The sequence below is a fragment of the Homo sapiens genome, chromosome 17 (genome assembly GCF_000001405.40).
Source record: "Homo sapiens chromosome 17, GRCh38.p14 Primary Assembly".
Taxonomy (NCBI): Eukaryota; Metazoa; Chordata; class Mammalia; order Primates; family Hominidae; genus Homo; species Homo sapiens.
This window is the reverse complement of record NC_000017.11, coordinates 27,941,272-27,965,633: the sequence shown is the minus strand read 5'-3', so window position 1 is coordinate 27,965,633 and position 24,362 is coordinate 27,941,272. Positions and strand designations below refer to the sequence as shown.

The 24,362-nt window shown below is 46.7% G+C and overlaps 2 long non-coding RNA genes across 3 annotated transcripts in view, besides 4 other annotated features; one reads left to right on the top strand and one right to left on the bottom strand.

The window, feature by feature from the left end:
• Positions 1-24,362, top strand: part of LINC01992 (long intergenic non-protein coding RNA 1992) — a 62,784-nt gene that overhangs the window by 26,074 nt on the left and 12,348 nt on the right. The window lies entirely within an intron of this gene.
• LOC124903962 (uncharacterized) lies at positions 802-13,475 on the bottom strand. 2 transcript variants are annotated; one of them, XR_007065682.1, is made up of 2 exons: positions 12,949-13,475; positions 802-1,308 (listed from the first exon to the last, which is right to left on the bottom strand). It is a non-coding gene; the product is annotated as an uncharacterized LOC124903962 (long non-coding RNA). The 2 variants fall into 2 exon arrangements; XR_007065683.1 differs by having other exon boundaries at positions 13,021-13,475.
• Positions 5,913-6,622: an enhancer, noted in NCBI's record as "OCT4-NANOG hESC enhancer chr17:26286038-26286747 (GRCh37/hg19 assembly coordinates)". NCBI's record gives its function as "activates a minimal SCP1, AML or CMV promoter by ChIP-STARR-seq in primed H9 embryonic stem cells {active_cell/tissue: H9 hESC(primed)}" and the evidence as "EXISTENCE:reporter gene assay evidence [ECO:0000049][PMID:30033119]".
• Positions 7,704-8,565: an enhancer, noted in NCBI's record as "H3K27ac-H3K4me1 hESC enhancer chr17:26284095-26284956 (GRCh37/hg19 assembly coordinates)". NCBI's record gives its function as "activates a minimal SCP1, AML or CMV promoter by ChIP-STARR-seq in naive H9 embryonic stem cells {active_cell/tissue: H9 hESC(naive)}" and the evidence as "EXISTENCE:reporter gene assay evidence [ECO:0000049][PMID:30033119]".
• Positions 20,248-20,307: an enhancer, noted in NCBI's record as "active region_11915". NCBI's record gives its function as "activates an Ori minimal core promoter by ATAC-STARR-seq in GM12878 lymphoblastoid cells {active_cell/tissue: GM12878}" and the evidence as "EXISTENCE:reporter gene assay evidence [ECO:0000049][PMID:35858748]".
• Positions 20,358-20,417: an enhancer, noted in NCBI's record as "active region_11914". NCBI's record gives its function as "activates an Ori minimal core promoter by ATAC-STARR-seq in GM12878 lymphoblastoid cells {active_cell/tissue: GM12878}" and the evidence as "EXISTENCE:reporter gene assay evidence [ECO:0000049][PMID:35858748]".

Genomic DNA, 24,362 nt, shown 5'->3' with positions numbered 1-24,362 from the left:
GCGTAGCGTAGAATCCTTTTTCTGCTTCTGCAACTTGCACCAACCTGGCTTGAACTTTGCTTTCAACAGTCGGTGTCCTGATGGTAGAAAACCACGAACACAGGCAGTAAACACACTTCTAAACATGCCATTTGGAATCCAGAGTCCTTTGACACGCCAGGGTGGTTCTACAACCAGGCTGGGGGCCAGGGGAGGGATCCTGGCCACTGAAAGGCTGGCATCGACACATCAGAGGGAAAGGAAAGATCACTGGCATTTAGGGATGCCTGGAACCTAGTGAGCCGAGCAATGAGGTCACCAATTCACCCTCTGGCTGTAGAGTCCCATCTTGGGAGGTGATTTTTATCCTAATGGAGGTGGGGAGGCGAGGTAATGAGCAGCTGCTTTTCCTTACTGTGTAAGGTGCTGCCTCCAGGCCAGGCACCAGCAATGTCAGGAAATGATGTGAGGGTTCAAAGTGAGGCCTGAAGTTAGTGAAGCCATTTGTGCGGCATGAGGGAAAACAGAGGAGGTAGCTGGCTTGTGAGTTATTTAAGGCCATACCCAGCCAGCTTCAAAGAGCATCCTTGTCTATGTTGAACGGCTTCCAGGCCAGTCTCTAGCTGGTTCTCTGAGAGGTGATAGGTGAGAAGAGGGGTTGGGAGGGCTGTTTAGTGTGGTCTGCAGTGTGAGCTGCTGCAAGCCCTGGGATGTGTTCTTTCTGGGTGTGGAGAGTGTTTAGATCAAACCAGAAATAGCACCAATAGCCAACTTACAATATGATGAGCCCTTCTGCGTACTAATTCACTGAGTCCTTGCAACTTTATTTGTTGGGTGTTTTTATTAACCCCATTTTGCACGTGGGAAAACTAAGCCAAGGCACAGGTCGAATAACTTGCTAGAGGTCCTATTAGTATTAAGAACCAGAATTTGAACCCAGGTAGTGTAGCTCCAGAACTTGGGTGCTGACCCACTGTGCTATCACGGTATTTAGCAGAAATGGAATTCAGTGATGGGCTAGGTCAGATATATGGGAAAGGAGTAGAGCTCCTTATTTGGCTTGATCTAAGCTCTGGGAGGCAGGGTTATGGTCGGCTGAAGGCTCTGAAGTGCTGAGTGGGCCAGAACCAAATATCAGAAGTTCAATTGTCTTGTACACAAAAGTGAGGAACCAGAGGTGGCTCGGATACATTTGACTGAGTAATTTGTTTGTGATCTTTGACAGAGTTTTGCCCCAGCTCCGTGCATGATACTTGGGTGATGGAGATCAGGTTACCTCCTGGCCCTGTGATGGCCCCATAGGCTCCAGGGGCAAGAGGATTCTGCTTCCTAGGAAAGAGAAAAAGGAAAAAGCTTATAGTGAAAACAGCATTGGCTTTAGAGCCATACAGGCTCGGCTGGGCTTGAAACCTCACCCTAACTCCCATTAGTTACTCTGTGTAACTTTGAGAAACTGTCTTACCCTCTCTGAGTCTCCGTGTCCTCATCTGTAAAACAGGGATAATAATAATATGTACCTCACAGCATTATTAGGAGGATTAAATGAGATAATGAATACACATTAACAGTGCCTGGGATGTGGAAGGTGTTTGGTTGGTGTAAATTCCTCCCCTCTCCATGCTTGCTTTCTTCTCCTTCTTTCCTGGGAAAATATGATTTGCTGGGTTAAAAAAAAAAAAAAAAGAACAAGAGAAAGACATTATAGCTGCAGGGCCTGCAGTCCTCCTCAAATGCCTTGGCAAGGGAGAAGGTTATTTCTGATCCCAGTTGTGCTTGGAGAGGACAAGGGTGCAAGAAGGAGCTGCTGGCCCTGCCTGGCTACCTTTCTGTGGTGGCAATCACTCTGGCATTGATTCTGCCCCAGGAACTGACACCAGAGGCTGCACATGCAGGAAAGATGGGCTGAGATGGGCCTGAAGCTCAGGCGGGGAGCTGCACCCGAAAGAGGACTGAGACCAGAGGAGGTAGCCCTGAGCCCATGACTGGAGAGAAACAACAGAATGGCAACTCCCAGCTGGCAGAGAAGGCCACCCTATCTGCAGGAGCCCAGCAACAGGGGGTCTTGGACTCAGCCAACAGCCACCTCCTTCCTCCTCTTGCCCTTCATGAGAAAAGCAAACTGGGTGGGTTCTCCCTCTGAGCCACTGGAAAAAGAAAGGCTACAAAGAGAAGACTGGGGGTGTGCATTCATTTATTTTTTCATTCATTCCACTAATACTTATTGAGCACCGCTTCCCTCCACATGTGTCTCAGTCCATGGGCGACTTATGCAGGCCCCACTTCACAGACAGCACACTTGCTAGCAGTATGGGCTTGGTTAAGTTACTTAACTTCCCTGGACTTCAGTTTCTTTAGCTGTATAATGGGTTAGAAGACACCTACTTGGTATATGACAGGCATGCAATGAATATTGTCTCTCTTCCTTTCCCATCTTCTCCTTTCCAAATGTTTGCTGAGGGAGGGAGGACCTGAGGCTCTCAGTACTCATTTGCATGTGATTTTGTATAAATGTGGGATGTCTTTTAAGCTGGAGAGGGGGAAGCTGCCAGAGGCTCACTTTTATCTCCAATTGCTCTGCTAACCATGCCTGTTTCAGTATCTATTGATGCAAAATGAAGCACCCCCAAAATTAGCAGCTTAAAGCAATAACAATCAGGCCAGGCACAGTGGCTCATGCCTATAATCCCAGCACTTTGGGAGGCTAAGGCAAGAGGATCACTTGAGCCCAGGAGTTCAAGACCAGCCAGAGCAACAGAGTGAGACCCCATCTCTGCAAAAAACAAAAATATCAGCCGTGTTGTGGCATGTGCTTGTAGTCTCAGCTACTTGGGAGGCTGAGGTGGGAGGATCACTGGAGCCGGGGAAGTTCAGGCTGCAGTGAGCCATGATTGCATCACTGCACTCCAACCTGGGCGACAGAGCAAGACCCTGTCTCAAAAACAACAATGACAACAATAATCATTCTATTATTATCTCTCATGGTTCTGTAGGGGTTCACTAAGTGATTCTTGCTCATGATCTCTTGGTCTTTGTTAGAATCAGATGTTTGCTGGAGCTGGAGTCATTCCAAAGGTTTCCTCATTCACATGACTGACATTGATGTTGGCTGTTTGCAAGCACCTTAGTCGCGGCTGTTGCCCAGACACTTACATGTAGCCTCTCTGTGTGGTCTGGATTTCCTTACAGCATGGCAGCTGGGCTCCAAGAACAAGAGTTCTAAAATAAGCATGCAGGAGCAAAAACGTTACTTCTGCCATAGCCACAAGTCTGCCTAGATTCAACTGGAGGAAATGTAGACCCCATTTCTCAATCGGAGAATTATCAGTGTCACGTTGTAAGGACCTGTGGGATGGGATATCTTTTTGCAGCCATCTTGGAAAATACAATCTGCCATGCTGCCCAACCAGGAAGAACTTCCAGCAGGAAGGCTTGTGGCTTGACTCTCAGGGGGTGAAATTGCCCATAAACAGAGAAACACAGGGTTCTTGAGAAGAGGCTTTGGCTATAAGGAATGGGGAGAGGGAGTTCAATCACTGCCAAGGTAGTTCTTTTTTCTTCTTTTTTTGGGACGGGGTCTCGCTCTGTTGCCCAGGTTGGAGTGCAGTGATACCATCATAGCCCACTGCAGCCTCAAACTCCTGAGCTCAAATAAATGATCCTCCTGCCTCAGCCTCCCAAATAGCTGGAGTGGTACAGTGGCATGATTATAGCTTACTGCAGCCTTGAACTCTTGGGCTCAAGCTATCCTCCTGACTCAGCCTCCTGAGAAGCTGGGACTACAGGTGCATGCCACTGTGACTGGCTAATTTAAAAAAAATTTTTTTATAGAGATGGGGGTCTCACTTTGTTGCCCGGACCGGTCTTAAACTCCTGGCTTCAAGTGATCCCCTGCCTCAATCTCCCAAAGTATGGGGTTATGGGCATGAGCCACTGTGCCTGGCTTGTATTTTTTTTTTTAATTTGTCAACTACACCAAATCAGATAGGCAATTTGTATTTTCTAAAAAGTTATGTACTTAATATTTTTTAATTTATTTATTTATTTGAGATAGGGTCTCACTCTGTCACCCAGGCTGGAGTGCAGTGGCACCATCATAGCTCACTGAAGCGTTAAACTCCTGGGCTCAGGTAATCCTCCTGCCTCAGCCTCCTGAGTAGCTGGGACTACAGAAGCAATCCACTGTGCCTGGCTAATTTTTTAAATTTTTTTGTAGAGATGGGGTCTCACTATGTTGCCCAGGATGGTTCTGAACTCCTAGGTTCAAGTGATCCTTCCACCTTAGCCTTCCAGAGTGCTGGGATTACAGGTTTGAGCTACACACAGTGCCCCGCCCAAGAGAGTTCTGAAAACTGTGATTCCAAAATTGGACTCTGGAATCCAGAGGGCACTGGGAAGAAAAATGGAGAAAGGGAGAAATAAGAGAGCCTTGGATTGTGGAAATGTGGTAGGTTTTGGAAAGAGTATCTTATCTTTGTCTTGTGCTATTCTGGTGTTCTTCCAGAAGCCCTGGAGCTCAGGGGATGGAGGGCTACACTTGGGTCAGAGGTCAGTGGGCGCTGACCCTAGCTCCAGGGGAGGGTGGCTTTAGTCTTCTCCCTACATCCCTGTTTCACCCCCAAAGTGGATGGCCATTCCTAAGCACCAGGAGGAGATAGGCTGGTCTCCTCCCTGGTATGCCTGGAATAAGCCCACCTCCTACATAAACAGAAATTATCACACGTACCCACAGTTCCACCCAGTCCTAAAAACTAAATAAATATGACAGTGAGTTTGGAATTAATCTTAAAAGAAATTCTCTAGGTGGAAACGGATTGAGATCTATGGAAATATATATGATTACTCTCCCTATGGAAAACGAGAGAGAGAACCGTCTCTGCTGTACTCTCCTGTGAAAGAGGCAGAGATTAATCTATTGAAATCAAATGTATAAATTATACATGGATAGGAACTGGCTCAGGGATAAGGTGTCTGATAGGGTGCTAATGGAAATGAAAATGAGGCTTGAAAGATCAATTCTGCCTTTGAATCAGCTCCAGTCCTGCCGATGCCCCTGGGCCTGCCTGGCAGAAAACACCCTGACTTATCAAATTAGAAAACACCCCATCCCCAAGCCTTTGAAACACGCACCTTCAAAGTAATTGCTAATGTTTTGGATGATATTTCTGTGCGTCACCAGGAATAATAAAAAGGCAATAAAAGTTTGAAGGCCCATATTTTTGCTGCCTGATGGCTGATATAAATCAAACCCACCTCTTCAAAGGAATAGATGGAAAGTTTTATAGTGTGGCTGTTGCCTGCCAAGGGAAGAGGGGCAGGCCTAAGTCTGGGGACAGGTGTCCCTCCCAGTCCAGCCATTGCTGTGTGACCTTCAGCCTGTGATTTAGCTACTCTGGGCTTATTGTTGTTCCATCCATTTATTCACTTATAAACTTGCTTATTCATTCAGTCAACTTCATGAGGACCTACCATGTGCCAGGCACTGTTCTATGCACCTATTTGATGTTCAATAAATATAATTAGTACAAAAATTAATACAGGCTGGGCACAGTGGCTCACACCTGGAATCCCAGCGCTTTGGGAGGCTGAGGCAGGAGGACTGCTTGAGCCCAGGAATTCACGACCAGCCTGGGCAACATAGGGAGACCCCCATCTCTACAAAAAATTAAAAAATTAGCCAGGCATGGTGGCACATGCCTGTGGTCCCAGCTACTCAAGAGCCTGAGGTGGGAGGTTTGCTTGAGCCCGGGAAATCGAGGCTGCAGTGAGCTGTGATTGCTCCACTGCACACTAGCTTGGGCAACAGAATGAGACCCTGTCTCTAATAATAATAATAATAATAAAAATAAAGCAAGCGTTTGTCCTCAAGAAGTTCTAGCTTAGAGAAACATAAACAGGTAAATTGTAGTAGCACATTGTTAGTGTTAACCAACACTGACCAGAGGGTTTGAAGATGGGCAGGTATATAAAAGAATCGAGGTGGTTTTGCCAGACAAAGAGGATTACTCCCTGCTAATGATCATCTGGCCGGAGTTTCACAGTATGATCTCAGAGTCTTTAAGATGACCTCTGCTGAGAAAGTAGCGACAGGAAATGAGCTTAGATTTCAGCAGGACTTGTTTAGGTGAGGTGAAAATGAACTTGACCATGCATGTTGTAGGTGGATGAGTGAGAGTGACGGCTGATACAGCTCTGTGAGGTCCGGGACCTTCTCTCTATTCCCAGGGCATTGCATAGGACCTGGCTCATAGAAGACATTCCACATGTTTTCTTAAACAAATGAATAAACAAATGGTGCATTACCTGGCCTTATTTCAGGACAGAACAGATTCTGCCTTGCTTTACATAACAAACTGGCAGGGGAAAGGTGAGACCCTTCCCTGACTGTGATGTTGTTATCTGCACCCATTTGAACTGAATGACTCACTCCACTTAAAAAATGGTGTCACAGCAGGTATAATATGCATCCAACAAAGTGCATAAATCTGAAGTAAACAGCTGGATAATTTTTCTTTTCTTTTTTTTTTTTTAAGAGACAGGGTCTCACTCTATCACCCAGGCTGGAGTACAATGGTGCGATCGTAGCTTACTGAAGCCTCTAACTCCTGGGTTCACAGTGATCTGCTCACCTCAGCCTCCTGAGTAGCTAGGACTACAGGTGTGGGCCACCATACTCAGCTAATTTTTAAAGTTTTTATAGAGACAGGGTCTCACTATGTTGCCCAGGCTGGTCTTGAACTCCTGGGCTCAAGCAATCTTCCTGCCTTGGCCTCCTAAAGTGCTGGGATTACAGGCACAGCCACTGCACCTAGCCAGCTTGATAATTTTTTCCATAGGAACATACCATGTGACCACTGGAAGATCAAGATCTAGAACATTCCTGCTCCCTACAAGCCTCTTCGTGCTATTTCCAGCCCCTTAGAGGAAACCACAACTCTGACATTTCCAAGTTTTTTTTGTAGATTCTACCTCCAGGTACCCATCTTGAATGAAAAGGAAAAAAAAATTAAATTCATCTTCATTCCAGGAAAAAAAATTAACAGCTTGATTTTTCCTTCCTGCCATTAGAAAAGTAGAATCATTCAATGTCAGTTCGGGAAGGGGCTTAGCACCTCTAGGTCAGGGATGTCTTACCTTTTTGGGAAGTAGGACTTCTTCTCAACATCAAGTTATTCCATGGACCCCGTGTGAGAGAGTTGTTGCATTTTTAGTGTCTTTTGATTGAGAAAACATTGATTAGTGGTTACCAGGGCCGGCGGGTGGGGAAGGAAGGAATGGGAGTTACCGTATAATGGGTATGGAGTTTCCATTTGGGGTGATGAAAAGCTCCCAGAGATGGATGGTGGTGATGCTTGCACAACAATGTCAATGTACTTACTGCCCCAGAGCTGTACACTTATAAAAATGGTGAAAATGGTCAATTTTATGTTATGTATATTTTGCCACAATAAAAAATAAAAAAGATAAAGTATCATTAAAAAAAAGACCAAAATTCCTGTGAATTCAGTGACTGCTTTAAAAACAAATGTTTATTTTATTAAAAACAATCAATTCTATGTTCATTTGAAAAATAGTAGTGTATGTGAGCATGAGAGCTATTTTTTCCTCACCCACACACAGTGTACAGTGCATGCAAAGTTTCTAAACCTTAGCAATGCCCTTAAGACCCCTGCCTTTTCCCAGTGTCTGAGATGCACAGATTAAGATGAACTGATCATTCCAACTCTTATCCCTCAGTTGAAGACACTGTGGCTCAGAGAGAGGAGTGACTTATCCAGGGTCACACAGCCCACTTACAGCAAAGCTAGGATAAGACTTCCAGGCTGGGCACGTTGGCTCACATCTGCAATCCCAACCACCTTTGAAGGCCAAGGGGGGAGGATCACTTGAGCCCAGGAGTTTGAGACCAGCCTAGGCAATATGGGGAAAACTGTTTCTACAAAAAATGCAAAAATTAGCCAGGCATGGTGGCGCATGCCTGTAGTCCCAGCTGCTTGGGAGGCTGAGATGGGAGGATCACTGGAGCCTGGGAGGCAGAGGTTGCAGTAAGCCGAGATCACACCACTGCATTCCAGCCTGGAACAGAGTGAGACTCTGTCTCAAAAAAAGAAAGAAAAAAAAAAGACTTCTGGGCTCAGGTCCCTCCAGCAGTTGCTCTTGTCTCTGCTCTTGTCTCTGCGCCCCCTCTGTGCGGAGACCAGCTGATGACCACACACACTGAGTCCCTCCAGACACTTAACTAGATGTGATTACCAGCATGGGGTTCTTTACTTGCCTGCTCCATCAAGGCAGGAAGTTGGATGTACAGCCAAGAGATAGAGCCTCCCGATGCCTTTGTAATTTGACCCTGAAGCTCGGTGGGGGCTGGTTCAGGCTCATTCTTATCATCAAGGCTGTGCTATGGCTCCTGTGAACAAGAACAGATGCACCTGGAGGCCCAAGTTCAAAGCTGCAGGCTGGGAGTCCAGTTTCAGAAAAGAGGTGCTGTCTGAGGCGAGAGTGGGTGCCTTGGCTATTTTGGCAAGAGCTGACAATGAGGAATTCTTCTCTTGCACAAGCTGTGCAGAAGTATTTTGTGTTGTGGGCTGTCCTGCCCCCGCCTTTCCCATCCCCAGGCTTGGTGGATGCCACTGCTCCCCAACCCCCTTCCTGACACTGCTAGCGACATCCAATTAATTCAGCAGAATTTGGTTCATTACAAGCCCTTAGGTTAGCAAGTGTTTTCTCAGCGTGCAGAGCTGCCTTCCTGGGCTTTCTCAAAGGGACAAGGCTCAGGGAGGGGAGAGAGGGTAGAGTCCTGATGTATCTGCCCAGCTGGGTACCAAGGAGATGTTGGATGCTGGATACAGGCCGGGCTGTGCTCACCCCAGCAAATCACAGACTTCCTGGCGCCCCCACACCCCCGGTTAAAAATATGATGAAAACGGGGACACGGCAAGACACCCCAGCAGAAACATCAAGCCATCCTTGGGCCCTGCCAATAGGCACCAGCCTTGTGGGGCTGGCGATGTCAGTTCTACGCTGAGTGGGCCCCTACTTGATGACTGTGGGAGTTCCTGTAGGGGCCTGTGGGAAAGGAGGCCCCACTGTAGCCCAGACCCGGCAAGGCTCAGCTGACGGCTGGCAGGGTCTGCTCCTTGGGCCTGGTCTTCAGTTGGGGAGGAAATACTTGGGAGAACCTGCAGCTACACAAACAGAGTGGAGGCATGGAAGGGAAGCTGGACCATGGGAGCAAAGCACCAAGGAGGGCTTGCAGAATCAGGCAGGCCAGGACTGGACTCACTGCCTGTAGCTTGCCCTCTGTGTGGCTGTGGCCTCGCTGATCTTTATTGTCTTTGATTGTAAACAGCACGTTTCTAATGCCTCCTTCATTCATTGGATTATGAGAATGAGCAGAATGATGGGAGGCTGTCAATGTCAAGGTCAAGGGAAGAGGTTCAGCAGCCAAACAGCCTGGGCTACAATTCTGGCTCCACTACTCCTGTGTGATGTTGGGCAAGTCACTTCACCTCCTCAAGCCTCGGTTTCCTCATCTGTGCAATGGGGAAATATTCATAATTGCATCTGCTTCCTAGGAGTGTTGTGAGGGTTCAACCAGCACTTGGAAGGGCCCTGGCACACAGTAAATGAACAAGCTATTATTATTGTTATTAATGATATGGGTAGAGTGCCCAGCACCCTGCCTGGAACTTCACAAAGGCTCTGACATCAGCCTCTCTCCCTGGTGACTTAAATTTCTCATCTATAAAAAAGGGATGTTGGCCGGGTGCAGTGGCTCACACCTGTAATCCCAGCACTTTGGGAGGCTGAGGCGGGCGGATCACAAAGTCAGGAGTTCAAGACGAGCCTGGCCAGCATGGTGAAACCCCGTCTCTACTAAAAATACAAAAATTAGCCAGGCGTGGTGGCACATGCCTGTAGTCCCAGCTACTTGGGAGGCTGAGGCAGGAGAATCACTTGAACCTGGGAGGCAGAAGTTGCAGTGAGCCGAGATCATGCTACCACTCTCCAGCCTGAGTGACACAGTGAGACTCCATCTCAAAAAAAAAAAAAAAAAATAGGATGTTTATTTCTACCTATCTCAGTGAGGCTCTTCTAGAAAACCTTTCCAGGCACTCTCCTTCTTGCCCAGGAGAACATGATTTTCCTCCCCTGCTTCACAGCAAGGATGCAGACTTCCACTGGAGCCCTGAACATGTAGGTTTCTGTGCATTATTCTCCTCTCAGAGCAGGAACTGTAAGGATTGCAGCATCCCTGTGTCCCTGTGCCTCACCTAGTGTCTGATGTGTGGGAGACACTCAGTGAGGGTCTGCAGAGTGAGCCAGTGTGGGTGCTAGGGCCGGGCAAGCAGGATGTGGAGGAGGACACATGTCAGACGAGCAAGAAGGTGCCTGCATGGTGGTTTGTGGCTGCCCTGTGGAACGGGGAGCAGCAGGGGTTATGCCTGTGAGGGCCTCCAGCCACTTTGCTAGAAATGAGTTTCTGAAGCCCTGAGACACAGCGGAGGGATGGGAGGAGGATTGGGATGGAACAGAGGGAAGAATTATGCAACTATCCTTTCCCTGCTCATTTCCTAACCCCCCACCCATCCCTCCACCCTTGGTTAATCATGAAGTCTACAACATTAAAATCTCCAGGGGAACTGTTACAAATCCGAAATGCCCAGACCTAGCTCCAGACCAATTAAATCAGGAATCCCTGGGGGTGGGACCCAGGCGTTTGTATTTTCTTTTCAAGTCCTCAGGTGATTCCAGTGTGCAGCCAAGGTTAAAAATATCAGATCACTTAGGGAAACACATGGTTTCAGAGTCTCAAGAACTACAGGATTGAGTGATGTGTCTTGTCAGCCCCACTGATTTCAGGTTTCCAGCATTGTTGTTTTAGAGGAGCACTTAGAGAATGACTGATACTTGCTGGGCATCCACTAGGCACAAAGCCCCCGGTTGGGTGCTTAAGGGAATACAGCAGTAACCCACAGCAAAAACCAGAATAACAACATTTAGTAACTGCCTATTGTGTGCCTGCCAGACACTTAGCCGACATTTGCTAATCCTTGCAAAAATTCACAAATTTATTACCCCCATCTTAGAGATGAAGGATATAGCAGACACTAACACACTTCCCATATTCGCCCTCATATACCCCAGGCTGCTTACTGCAAACATCTATGGGTTTTTTGTTTTGTTTTGCTTTTTGTTTTCTGGTCAAGGTAGCATTCGAGGACACTCACAGAATACGCTGGAAACATCCTCAACCAAAGATGGATGAGAGTTGGTGGATAAACACCCTGGTTTTTCACCTCTTGACTGGGACAGCTTTGAGATGTATTCTACACCAGTGATTTCAAACTTTCCTGCACATTTGATCACCTGGGGGTGTAAAAAAAAATACTGGTGCCCAGCCTATATCCCAGACCAATTAAGTCAGAATCTCTGTGGATAGAACTCAGGCATTCATATTTTTTAAATCTCCCTGATGAGTGCAACGTTCAGCCGGGTTAGGAAACGGTATTCTGCAGTCCCCCAAAGTTACCCAGCAGTATTGAACTTCAATAGCACAGTGTGGTGACTTGATGAATAATACTCCCTATTAGGGGTTCTTTCCTGCTCCTGTCTCATCTCATACTTTGCCTGCCAGCACTTCCTGGAATCACCTCCCAATAAACTTCAGATATCATGTCCTGGTTTCAGGGTCAGTTCTGTGGGAATCAAAGGAAGTTAAGATCTGGAAAGGTGAAGTGCCTTGTCAAAACCTCATAGCCAGGACATGGCAGAACCAGCATTTGAATTCTTGCTCTCCACAGACTTTGTGGTATGATGGGAGAGACGGGTATTCAGAAAACTACATTGTAGGACAAAAGGAAATGAAAGATCAAAGGGATGTTCAAACAAATGCCTGAGGAGCATTAAAACAAGTCAAACCTGCGATTGAATGTGACTGGGAGTCAGGAAAGCCCTCAAGAATTTGGAATCATTTATGCTGGCAAATGACAGGGATTTCCCGACATGGAGATGTGGGGTAAGGACATTGCCAATCAATGTTGGACCAGCAGGAGCAGAGGCCCAGAGATGGAGCCCAGGGCAGACGTGTATGAGTGAGTGGTCAGCTGGGATGTGATATGAGCTAGAACTAGAGGAGGCAGATGGTGGGATTGGGTGGTCCCTGGGGTCCTTCCTTAACCTCTCATATTGGATTTGGCATGACTGGGTAAGGGTCTTCTCTCTGGAATCTTTTTTTTTTTTTTTTGAGGGGGGACAGGGTCCTGCTGTATCACCCAGGCCAGAGTATAGTGGCGCTGTCACGGCTCACTGCAGCCCCACATCCTGGGCTTAAGTGATCCTCCCACCTGTCTCCTGAGTAGCTAGGACCACAGGTGCATACCACCATGCCTGGCTAATATTTTCATTATTTTTGTAGAAACGAGTCTCCCTATGTTGCCCAGGCTGGTCTTGAACTCCTTGGCTCAAGTGATCCTCCTTCCTCAGCCTCCCAAAGTGCTAGGATTACAGGCATGAGCCACTATTCCAAGCCACTCTCTGAAATATTTTACCACAACTGTGAGGGCTAGGGGCTAACCGAAAGCTATGTCCAGGGATGTGGGTGGGAGGGGGAAAAAGAGGTGGACCAATGTCAAGTCCTAATGATGAACCTGGGCTGCTTATAAAGGAACCATCCTACAGGGACAGGGTGGCAGGGGTTGGGGGTCCATCTGGTCCCCACCTTCCTCTCTCCTCTCACCACCCACCACTCTGCTGCTCCCTGTACTCAATGTCTGAAAGGCCAAGGCTGCTTCTGCCACTGGTCCTTTGCCTCTGCTGTGCCCCCTGCCTGGAGAGCTCTTTCTTCAATTCTCAGAATGCTCCCTTTTCCCATCACTCAGAATTCTGCTAGAAACTCACATCCTTGGAGAGGCTCTCCTGGACTATCTTCCCCTTTCCCTTGTCCCCTCCCTACGGGTTCTCCCACATTACCTCATTTTCTTCCTTTCCTGCACACAACACATCTGAGATTCGTCTTGAGTCTATTTCTGTTGGCTTCCTTACCCTGTCAGTCTCCCCTTCCGGGCTGCATGGGAGTAGGCAGGTTGCTCTGTCTCCATCACGTGTGCCTGTCCCCTCCGATCCTAGAACAGTGAATGACTGAACTGGGCAGGCCCAGAGAAGTGTGCAGTGGGGGCCTGGGTGAATTCTGGGGGGTGGGAAGGAGGGCACTGCCTTTGCCCTGCCATGCTGCGCTGGGGATGTTGATCTGTGCTCAGGCAGTCAGGCTGGCCCAAATGAGCAGCGCCTAACAGTGGCCAATCAATACTGATAAGGGAGCTAAATCAGGTTAAGACCCATCTCTCCAGGGTTGGTGTCAGGCCATAAACAGCTTCACAGGAGTCCAAGGTCAAGGGTGTAGGTCTCACCCCACTCCCATCCCCCACTGGGTACATGGGGCCCCTTCCGCCAGCCCAGGAAGCCCACCCAGCCTGCACACGTGTGCTCCAGGCTGTTGCTCTTCTCCTGCCCTGCTTCCCTCTCATCCCACGCACTAGAATGTCCTTTCCTTCTGCATTTTATTTCTGTACCCAAGGTCTGATGTGGTCACGCACACACTGACATTTAAAGACCCAGCCGAGAAATCAATCAGTGTGGTCTGTCCTTCAGCGCCTCAGGAAACTATGTGACTGAGCCAGGCCTTGTCTGGCTCACACCCTATTGATTTGTAATGGTAGCCATGGCTTCTGAAATGGCAAGTGGGACTTCCCTTGCCATTTCTAGGACATCCCTGGAAATGCTATGGGAAAAACAGGAGGCAGTGTATCAGAATGGTCAGGAGCCTTGGGAGCCATCCTGCCCAGACTTGAATTCCAGCCTCTGATTTGCTGGTTGTGTGACCTGTGCCACTTGCTCAACCTGTCAGTCTCAGTGAATGGGGGATGACTGGCATCTACACCGTAGGACTGCAGTGATGATAGGGTGAGTTGATAAACATAAAGCACAGAGAATGATGTCCGTGACATAGTGCTGTATAAATGCTGGCTATGGTTATGGTCTTTAGAGTGAGGATAGAAACGGTGCTCACATCCCAAGATTGTTATGAGGATGAAATGAAATAACTCACATGTAATCCCACTCAGCATAGTACAAACACTCAATAGACATTAGCGAGCCCTGCAACTTAAGGAGATACAATCTGGAGGATATAAGCCAAGGACAAATGTCCCTTGAAAGGACAATAATCATTAGGAATAAAGAAGGATTGAATTTATGAATTCACAAATCACCCAAATTTTCAGGAAGATGGCTTTCAGGCAGAGTGAGGTGAGCCTGCTGTGGGGCTGCCTGGAGTCAGGCAGTGTGAAGCTGCTTTGTCCCAAGGAGCTTGTCCCGTCTGCAGTGAGATGAAAGACCATCTGGGCCCAGGGGTCACGAGTCCTCATGTGACTCCCAGAGCCCGATTAGTGAGCCGTGGGAAGTAGAAATCCTCCCCAAGGAGCTCCGGGCTCCCAGTCTCAGATACAAGGTCCCTTTTATATCTATCCTATGCCTGGGGCCAGGACCTGATCATATGTCTATTTGGATTGAGGGCAAAGGGGAGAGAGGGCTAGGAGGGAGAGGATTAAGATTACCCAAGTCCCATAAACATGACCAGAGATAACCCTCAGGACTGGAATGTGGCAAAAGAAAAGTGGGTTTCGTGCCTGGGAAAACGCTGCGTTGCCAGGAGGAAGAGAGGAACCAGCAGTGACTGAACTCTGGGCAGTGAGTTTCATATACATCTGGGGAGCTATGTCTGAAGTCTGAAGTCTGGAGTCCGAAGTCACACAGCTAATGAAGGGAAGAGCTGGGATTTGAACCTAGGTTCATGGATTCCAAAGACTATTTCCCCACTGATGATGCTGGTTGGTACCCTAATGGAAGGAGGCAAAACAGAAAACCTGCCAGGGTTTACCCAGCCTTATGTAAGGGGGAGGGGAGGGTAGATGCCCATATTCAGGCCATTAGAGAATAGAATTCTGTTTTGTTGTTGTTGTTGTTGTTGTTGTTTTGAGACTGAGTCTCGCTTTTGTCGCACAGGCTGGAATGCAATGGCACAATATGTTGTGGGCCAAGGCTAATGTGGCCACAGCTTTGTGGAGGATGCCTTGAGATGCTCTGTTCCCTAGGTTACTAGATTATCTTTTTTTTCTGAGACATGGTCTCACTCTCTCGCCCAGGCTAGACAGGAGTACAGTGGCGCAATCACAGCTCACTGCAACCTTTGCCTCCCAGGCTCAAGCGATCCTCCCACCTCAGCATCCCAAGTAGGTGGGACTGTAGGCGCACAACACCATGCCTGGCTAATGTTTGTATTTTTTGTAGAGGTGGGGTTTTGCCATGTTGCCCAGGCTGGTCTGGAACTCCTGGGCTCAAGCGATCCTCCCACCCTGGCCTCCCAAAATGTTGAGATTACAGGCGTGAACTGCCATGCCTGGCCTCCCTAGGCTCTTATTCTGCACTCACCTTCAGATGATAATTTAGTTCCCGGGGATCTTGCTAGCAGAAAGAGGTGTCCCACCTACAGATGCACAGGTTCCTCTCACTGATAACACTTACTTCCCTTCACGAGTGATGAGGCTTGGACTGTGTGACAATGTGGGGTAGAGGAAAGAGTTGGATTTTAGAGTCAGATTGGCTTTTCCATGCATTAGCCCGCAAGTTCCTCAACCTCTCTAAGCTTCCATTTCCTTCCTCACTGGTAAGATGGGGTTTAAAAAGACTGACCTGAGGGAGCTAATGCAAGTGGTGGCAGGTGCCTGTAGTCCCAGCTACTTGGGAGGCTGAGACAGGAGAATCAGTTGAACCTGGGAGGCGGAGGTTGCAGTGAGCCGAGATTGTGCCACTGCACTCCAGCCTCGTGACAGAGCGAGACTATGTCTCAAAAAAAAAAAAAAAAACAAAAAAACCAAAACAACCCCCAAAAGAAAGGCCTATTCCAGTACCTGGTATACAGTAGGGGCTCAACAACTGGTTAGATATTTTAAAACGCATTGACATTCTAATCTGGCAATCATTCTTTTCTGAGTTGGTCTCTCAGCTATTGAGTAGCAACGGAGAGAAGATGAGAATTTCATCAGGCTCCAGAGAGCTAGGCTCAAGATGCTGACCCTTGGGAGTGCCCTCAGAGAAGCCAGCAGGTGGGGCTAGCCTTGGCTTTGCAGAAGTGCAGGCCTGGCAGGTCGTGGTGGTGAGGGTCCCTGGGGCTGGCATGGTTATCTGGAGGGGGAGGAGGTGGTCTGAGGTGGGTGGTGAAGGCAGAAGAGTATTGGAGAAGGGTAACTGAGGGCCAGACAGCCTATGAGTCCCCAGTTCTGAGAAGACCCCAGGAAGCCAACCAAGCTGAAGGCAGGATGCCTGGTACTCAGGAACGGCAGGAAAGCCACAGGCTGGACTAGACTAGCTCCCTCCCCACCAACCACCTGCTTTGTAAAAACAGATCCCTGGGCCCAACCTTGAAAATTCGGATTGAGTAGATCTGAGTTGAGACCCATTAAATGGTATTTTTAAAACATTCTTGTCCGGGCATGGTGGCTCACGCCTGTAATTCCAGCACTTTGGGAGGCCAAGGTGGGTGGATCACTTGAGGTCAGGAATTCGAGACCAGTCTGGCCAACATGGTGAAACCTCATCTCTACTAAAAATACAAAAATTAGCTGAGCGTGGTGGTGTACACCTGTAATCTCAGCTACATGGGAGACTGAGGCAGGAGAATCGGTTGAACCCAGGAGGTGGAGGTTGCAGTGGGCCTAGATTGCACCACTGCACTCCAGCCTGGGAGACGAGTGAGACTCTATCTCAAAAAACAAAAACAAAAACATTATTAGCTGGGTGTGGTGTCTCATGCCTGTAATCCCAGCACTTTAGGAGGCCAAAGTGGAAGGACTGCTTGAGCTCAGGAGGTCAAGGCTGTAGTGAGCCAATGATCACCCCACTGCACTCCAGCCTGGGTGACAGAGCAAGACCCTGTCTCAAAAACAAAAGCAAAGCATTCTCCACAGCAGAATAGTGTGTACAGCATGCCATGATTTTACATATCTCTATATATGTATGTATATATATAGACTTAAAAATACCTCTAAAAGGGTACACAAAAAACTCTAGTAATTGTCTATGAGGAGAATGGAGGGTCAGGTAGGAAAGGAAACCTAGTTTTCTTTTTTTTTTTTTTTGAGACGGAGTCTCACTCTGTTGCCCAGGCTGGAGTGCAGTGGCGCGATCTCAGCTCACTGCAAGCTCCGCCTCCCGGGTTCACGCCATTCTCCCATTCTCCTGCCTCAGCCTCCTGAGTAGCTGGGACTACAGGCGCCCGCCACGACTCCCGGCTAATTTTTTGTATTTTTAGTAGAGACGGGGTTTCACCGTGTTAGGATGGTCTCGATCTCCTGACCTTGTGATCCACCCGCCTCGGCATCCCAAAGTACTGGGATTACAAGCCCACCGCGCCCAGCCTCTAGTTTTCATTTATACTCATATGTGGGGTTGTAATTTTCTTTATTATGTGTGTTTATTCACATAATTACATTCATACAATTTTTAAAATTAAGGTGGAATTCACATAACATAAAATTAACCATTTTAAAGTGAACAATTTAATTAATTTAATGACATTTAGTACCTTCACAGTATCGTGCAACCTCTATCCAATTCTAAAGCATTTCCATGATTCCAATGCAAACCCCTTATCAAGCAGTTTCTCCCCATTACTCTCTCTCCCCAGCTCCAGCAAACAACCAATCTCCATTCTATTTCTGTGAATTTGTCTATTCTGGATATTTCATATAAATGAAATCATATAGTACATAATCTTTTGTGTCTGGCTGCTTTCACTTAGCATAAAGTTTTTGAGGTTTATCCACGATCTAGCATGTATCAGTACTTCATTCCTTTTTATGGCTGAATAATATTCTGCTATATATGCCACAATTTGTTAAGCCACTCGTCTGTTGATGGACATTTGGACTGTTTCCACCTTTTGGCTATTGTGGATGCTGCTGTAATAAACATTCCTGGAGAGGTACTGGGTTGGGTATTAGTTTTCAGTTCTTTTGAGTGTATACCTAGCAGTGTAATTGCTGGATCATATAGTAATTCTATGTTTAATTTCTGAGGAATCACCATGCTGTTTTCCACTGCACCTGAAACATTTTATATTCCAATTAATACAATCTTAAAGGTTCCAAAGGTGTTGGGTAAAAAGAGGAAAAAAATAAACTATTAAACTTCTGTTTCCAAAATTGGAAAACTTTAATCATTTCCCTAACATCTAAGCAGGCACTTGGGCACACTTCCTGGCTGGATCCTGCTTGCTACACTAGCACAAAGAGAAGGGGCTGGCTGCTCACCCTCCTCCTGCCCCCTCTCACTTGCCCTCCACATACGTAGTCACTTGTAACTTATTGTTACTGACTTTGAATGGAAGCTTTCAGCTGCTCCATCCTTCCTCTGTTGGTTGAAGGGCTGTCAATGGGATGGGAATTACAACCGTAGCTGCTGTTATCTGTGTCGTATGGCTGGCTGTGTATTACTGGCTGCACTTGCCAGGGAATTAATCCCCTAAGTGTGGATGGCAAATGATGAAAACCTGGCACATAAATAAGGAGACAGGCAGCGCTCCACTGACATGCCTTGGGAAGTGATCAGCTTGTCCCTGTGCACCATACTCAATGTCTCCAAGCTCAAGGGCCATTCATCCGCAGGGAAACAGCCAGACTTTCATTCATTCATTCAATGAACATTTATGGAATAGAGCACCTATTCTGTGCAGCACCGTTCTAGACATTTTTATGAGTTGTATTGTGTAAGACTTACAATAGAAAGATATTATTGTCCTCAGTTCAAAATGAGGAAGTGGAGATTCAGAGAAATTAATAAATTTTCCCATCATCACACAGCTAGTATGTAGTGGAACCAGGACTTGGACTGAATTCCCTAGGGCCTCCCTCTCTGTCTCACTTCCTTCTACACTTATTTACAGCAAGCTGTATGTGCCAGGCACCCATGGTAGGCACTGAGGATATCATAGTGAACCAGACAGACTGGTGTAAACTGTTCCCTGTTGCTTTTCCATTGTGTCCTATGACTCCTGGGCATCATCTCAAACCTACTCGATTTCTTCTCAAATGTTCCTTCTTACATAATGACCAATGCAGCACAGTCCAAAGAGCTGTGAGGTTGAAGATGAATTAAATTCAGGCCCTGGGTTCATGCCTCTTTGAATATAGACCTAAAATCTCATGGTTCCAAGATGTGATTAGCAAATTTCATCATGCCCCTCTTGCTCCAAAACCTCCCATGGCCCAGGGCCTACAAACATTTCTGTGACATGAAAAATGGTAAAGACTCAAGTGGGGCTCTCCATGGGAGCTGAACCATGCACAAAGGTTGAGGAGAGCATTTTAAAAAGTGCTTTTCTGTGCATAATGCGAAATTCATGGATAGAGAGGCATCAGCTAGGCGTCAGACCATGGAGGGAGGCATTTCTCCAAACTGAGAAACAAGGCAAGGCTTCAAGACTGAAAGACCATGACTAAGAAAAAAAAAGTCTGAAAGACCAGCTGTCCCTAGAAGATGCTGTCAAGACCCACACACATCCAGTTCATTTGTGTACGGCACCCAGGCCCTCCGTTTATCATCTTTGGTTCAGGTTTTGCATATTCGGGTAAGTTTGTGCTTAGGTTATGCAAGTAAACATATGCTGAGAGGTAGCAATGTTTATTTCAGTGGAAGCATTTATTTTAATAGCTTTATAAATCACACCAGGATTGCATTTATAGCATCATTAAGGAACTGAAGGGGTCACTTAAATGCTTAAGTTAGACTTTGCTGCTGCACTTTATGGGAGACATTATATGCTGTCAAAGGCAGAAGGATAAGAAGCTAGGTCCCACCTTCCTGTTCCCCCTACACTCCATATCCCCAAATACCTAGATTTTAAAATGAAGAGTTATAGACAGTGAACAGAAAGACTTTAGTAGTGTCCTTGTATCATTGCCAGTCTCCTCTTGAGGACTAAAAACTTCAGGATTTGGAGTCTAGAGACCCACAATCTGGGCTTTATACACCATCTATATAGGGCAGGGGTCCCCAACCCCTGAGGGACCAGTACCAGTCCATGGCTTGTTAGGAACCAGGCTGCAGAGCAGGAGCTGAGTGGAGGGCAGGCGAGCATGACCACCTGAGCTCTGCCTCCTGTCAGAGCAGCGGCGTCATTAGAGTCTCGTAGGAGCGGAAACCCTACTGTGAACTGCACATGGGAGGGATCTAGTTTGCGTGCTCCTTATGAGAATCTAACTAATGTCTGATGATCTGAAGTGGAACAGTTTCAGCCCAAAACCATTTCCCCCCTGCCCCTTGTCCATGAAAAAATTGTCTTCCACAAAACTGGTCCCTGGTGTCAAACAGGTTGGGGACTGCTGGTGTAAGGGACTTTGGAAAAAATCACTTGAACTTCCTGGGCCCATTTCCTCGATTGTAAAAAACAAAATGAAACAAAACAAAACAAAACAAAGCAAAATGGGAACTATAACAACCACAAGGCTGTGGCTTTGTAAACAATGTAACAAGACCCCATCTCCACACACACAAAATTAACAATTAGCCAGGTGTGGTGATGCATGCCTGTTACGGCTTTTGTAATTCCCCAACCTCACTCCAGAGACTGCTGCTGGGTTTAGGGCTGAGATGAACAGGGGCCTCTGAAGGGAAGTGTATTTGTTTCCTGTGGCCGCCATAACAAATGACCACATACTGGAAGGCTTGACATAATGGAAACGTGTTGTCTCATAGCTCTGAAGGCCAGAAGTTTGGAATCAAGGTGTCAGCAGGGCTGGTTCTTTCTGGAGGCTCCGAGGGAGAATCTGTTCCCTGTGTATCTCCTCGCTTCTGTGGCTCTGCAATCCAATCCTGGCATGCTGTGGCTTGCAGATGTATCCCTCTGATCTCTACACCCTGTCTTCATGTGGTTTTCCCCCTGTGTCTCTTTGTCTCCAATTTCTCCTTTCTTTTATAAGGACACTAGTCATTGCATTTAGACGCACCCTAAATCCCGGATAATCTCATCTTCAGATCCTTACCTTAATCACATCTGCAAAGATTCTACTTCCAGATAAGATCACATTCACAGGTACCAGGGGTTAGGACTCAATTTCACCCACTATAGGCAAGAACATGTAAATCCTATCTAAGAGAGGAGGCTAAAATTCATGGCAAGAATGAGGATCTGGACCAGATTAATTAGGGTGGGAGGTAAGGGATGAATATGAGGGGCAGGAGGACTGGCTTTCACGTGGTACTATCCATGGTGTGTGTTGGCGGGGCGGGGTGGGGGACAGAACTAGCAGTTACAAAAAGCCGAACTGAACCACCCACCACTTGTCTCATGCCAAAATAGGAGCTGAAAATTTAGTAGTGGCCAGGCACCATGGCTCATGCCTGTAATCCCAGCACTTTGGGAGGCCAAGGTGGTGGGAGGATCCTTGAGGAACTCCCAGTAGTTCGAGACCAGCCTGGACAATGTAACAAGACCCCATCTCCACACAAAAAAATTACAAATTAGCCAGGTGTGGTGATGCATGCCTGTAGTCCCAGCTACTTGGGAGGCTGGGGCAGGAGGATGGCTTGAGCCCAGGAGTTCAAGGTTGCAGTGAACTATGATTGTGCTACTGCTCTCTACTGGTATTTGTTACTCTTCCAGAGATATTTTTAAGGGCAAGAACTCTGAAGTCAGACTGTCGCGTGCAAACCCAGGCTGTTTGGCTGTCTTAGTCCATTTTGGTGCTACAACAGAATATTTGGGATGGACTAATTTATAAAGAATGGAAATTTATTTCTCACAGTTCTAGAGGCTGGGAAGTCCAAGATCAAGGTGCCAGCATCTTGTGAGGATCCTCTTGCTGTATCATCCCATGGAGGAAGGCAAGAGGATAAGAGAGAGAAAAAAGGGGAAAACTGGACCTTTTATAAGAACCCACTCCTTTGATAATGGCATTAATCCATTCTTGAGAGCGGAGTGCTCATGGCCTAATCACCTCTTAGTGGTCTCACCTCTTAATGCCATCACAATGGCAATTAAATGGCAACATGAGTTTGGGAGGGGACAAATATTTAAACCATAGCAATGACTTTGGGTAAATCACTATGCCTAACTTAGGTTGAGTTCCTTAAAAAGAGCCTGAGACAAGATTCCAACGCACTTGATTTATTGAGGGAGTGCTTTTGGGAGAAAAGGGGCAAGGAAAGCAGGATAGAGGTAGCAAATGGATCTAAGCAAGAATGTAATCCCAGCTAGAGTCTAGCTTTTGCTTGACTCCACCGCAAAAAAATTTGGAGGGAGAATTGCACCATACAGTTGGTCCCACTTTGTGGTGGTCCTGCCCTGCATCAACTAGTCAGTGGCTGAGGGCTGCCATAGTGGGAGGGGAAGGCAGTGTATAACTTCCTAGGTGAGACCACTCCTATCCAGCCAGGGGCAATTCTCTGGAAAGAGGGGAAGCTGTGAGTCTTTAGCAGCCAACATTTACAGCCAGGAAAGGGAACTAACAGTATTCACTATGTATAACTTTGTATACTTCAGTTTCCTCAACTACAAAATGGAGCTGGTAATAGTAACTATCTCATATGATTGTTAAGCCATTTAAATATGTTAATATATGTGAAGCCTGCCACATGTACATGTTCAGTAAATCTTAGCTATGATTATTGTAATATTTATTGATGAGTAACAAACCATCCCAAAATTTAGCAGCTTAAAATAACAAACATTTATTAGATAACTCAGTTTCCGAGGACTAGAAATTAGGAATGGCTTAGATGGGTGGTTCTGGTTGATGGCCTTTCACGAAGATGCAGTGAAATGTCAGCTGGGGCCGCAGTCATTTGAAGGTTTGACTGGGGCTGGACAGTCTGCTTCCAAGGTGGCACACTCACGCAGCTATTGGCAGGAGGCCTCAGTTCCTTACTCCATGGACATCTGCATTGGCTGCTTGTGTGTCCTAGTGATGTGGCAGGTGGCTTCTACCTTAGCAAACAATCCAAAAGAGGGAACTAGGAGGAATCTACAAAACACTTTATAACCCAGACTTGGAAATCACACACCATAACTTCTGCTATATTTTATCGGTCATGAGTCACCCAGTCCAAGCCATGCTCAAGGAGATGGGAATTAAGTTCTGTCTCTTAAAAGGAACAATATTGAATAACTGTGGAATTTAAAATCTACCACAATTAGTTATTGTTAATTTCTATAGTAAGCTTGGAAACTACTGATTTGTCCTCCAAGGAAAATTTGTGTTTGAAAAATGAACACACAAGTAGGCCACGAATAAATCTCAAGCAATGGATCATTCATGCATTTACATAAAGTAGCTGTCTTTTTACTATTATTATTATTCTATATCTAGAAATAAAGTAGTTGTTTCTGGGAAGGGGAGACTTGCAGGGCCCGCTGAATAACACCATACCTTCCATTTGCACACTAGCATACCGCCACTGCCCCAGAAAAATTCCACTTCTCTTGATTGGCCAGTGGAGTCCAAGAAGCTGCAAACCTCTGGTATAGTCAATTGTTTAACCTTTCCTAACTACACACACAAACACACACACACACACCCCTCATGATTCTGTTCTGCTTAATCTTTTAGCTTCCTGGATTCACTCACTAAACCTGGCTCCTTCTGGCTGTATTCTGGGTTTGTCGACCTTGGTTTCCCATGCGACTTTCAGCGTTGCTTACTTTCTGGTCTCTAGCTTCCAGGAATACCATCCTTCCCTCTCCAGCCCAAGCTCTGGACTGGGCCAGCCTCTGCCCAATGCTCAGGCCTGCAGGACCAGGGGGATTCAGGCTTACTCAGCCTTCCTGTCCTTTCTCGCCACAAACTTCCAACTTCCATCCTTTGCTACTGGATCGATTGGCCAGGTCTTCACTACCAGACCAAAACAAAGGGTGGGGACAATTATTTAGATCATTCAGACACTCACTCAAGCAAAAACAATGATTTTATTTCCCCTGAATGATCCAGATAATTATTTTAATTCTCTGCTTCACTTTGTCTCTGGAGCCCTGACCTCTTCATTCTATGACTCTAGTTAAAATTTGGTCCCAGTGATAAATATTTCTTGTCTAATTGTCTTCTCCACTCATGTTCCACAAGAGGTGATTTCCAGGGAAAAGGATCTGTAGGTAAATGAGCATTAACTTCAATCCTGGGCAATGTGAAAATTAAAATAAAGCTGTCATGGCATACGTTCTATCCACATTTCACTTTCTGGAAGGGCCCCTCTATTTCATCCCTCCCCAACCCCTGTCACACACAGCAGCAAGGAGCAAATTACCATTTATTAAACTCTAATTATCATTCCCATTT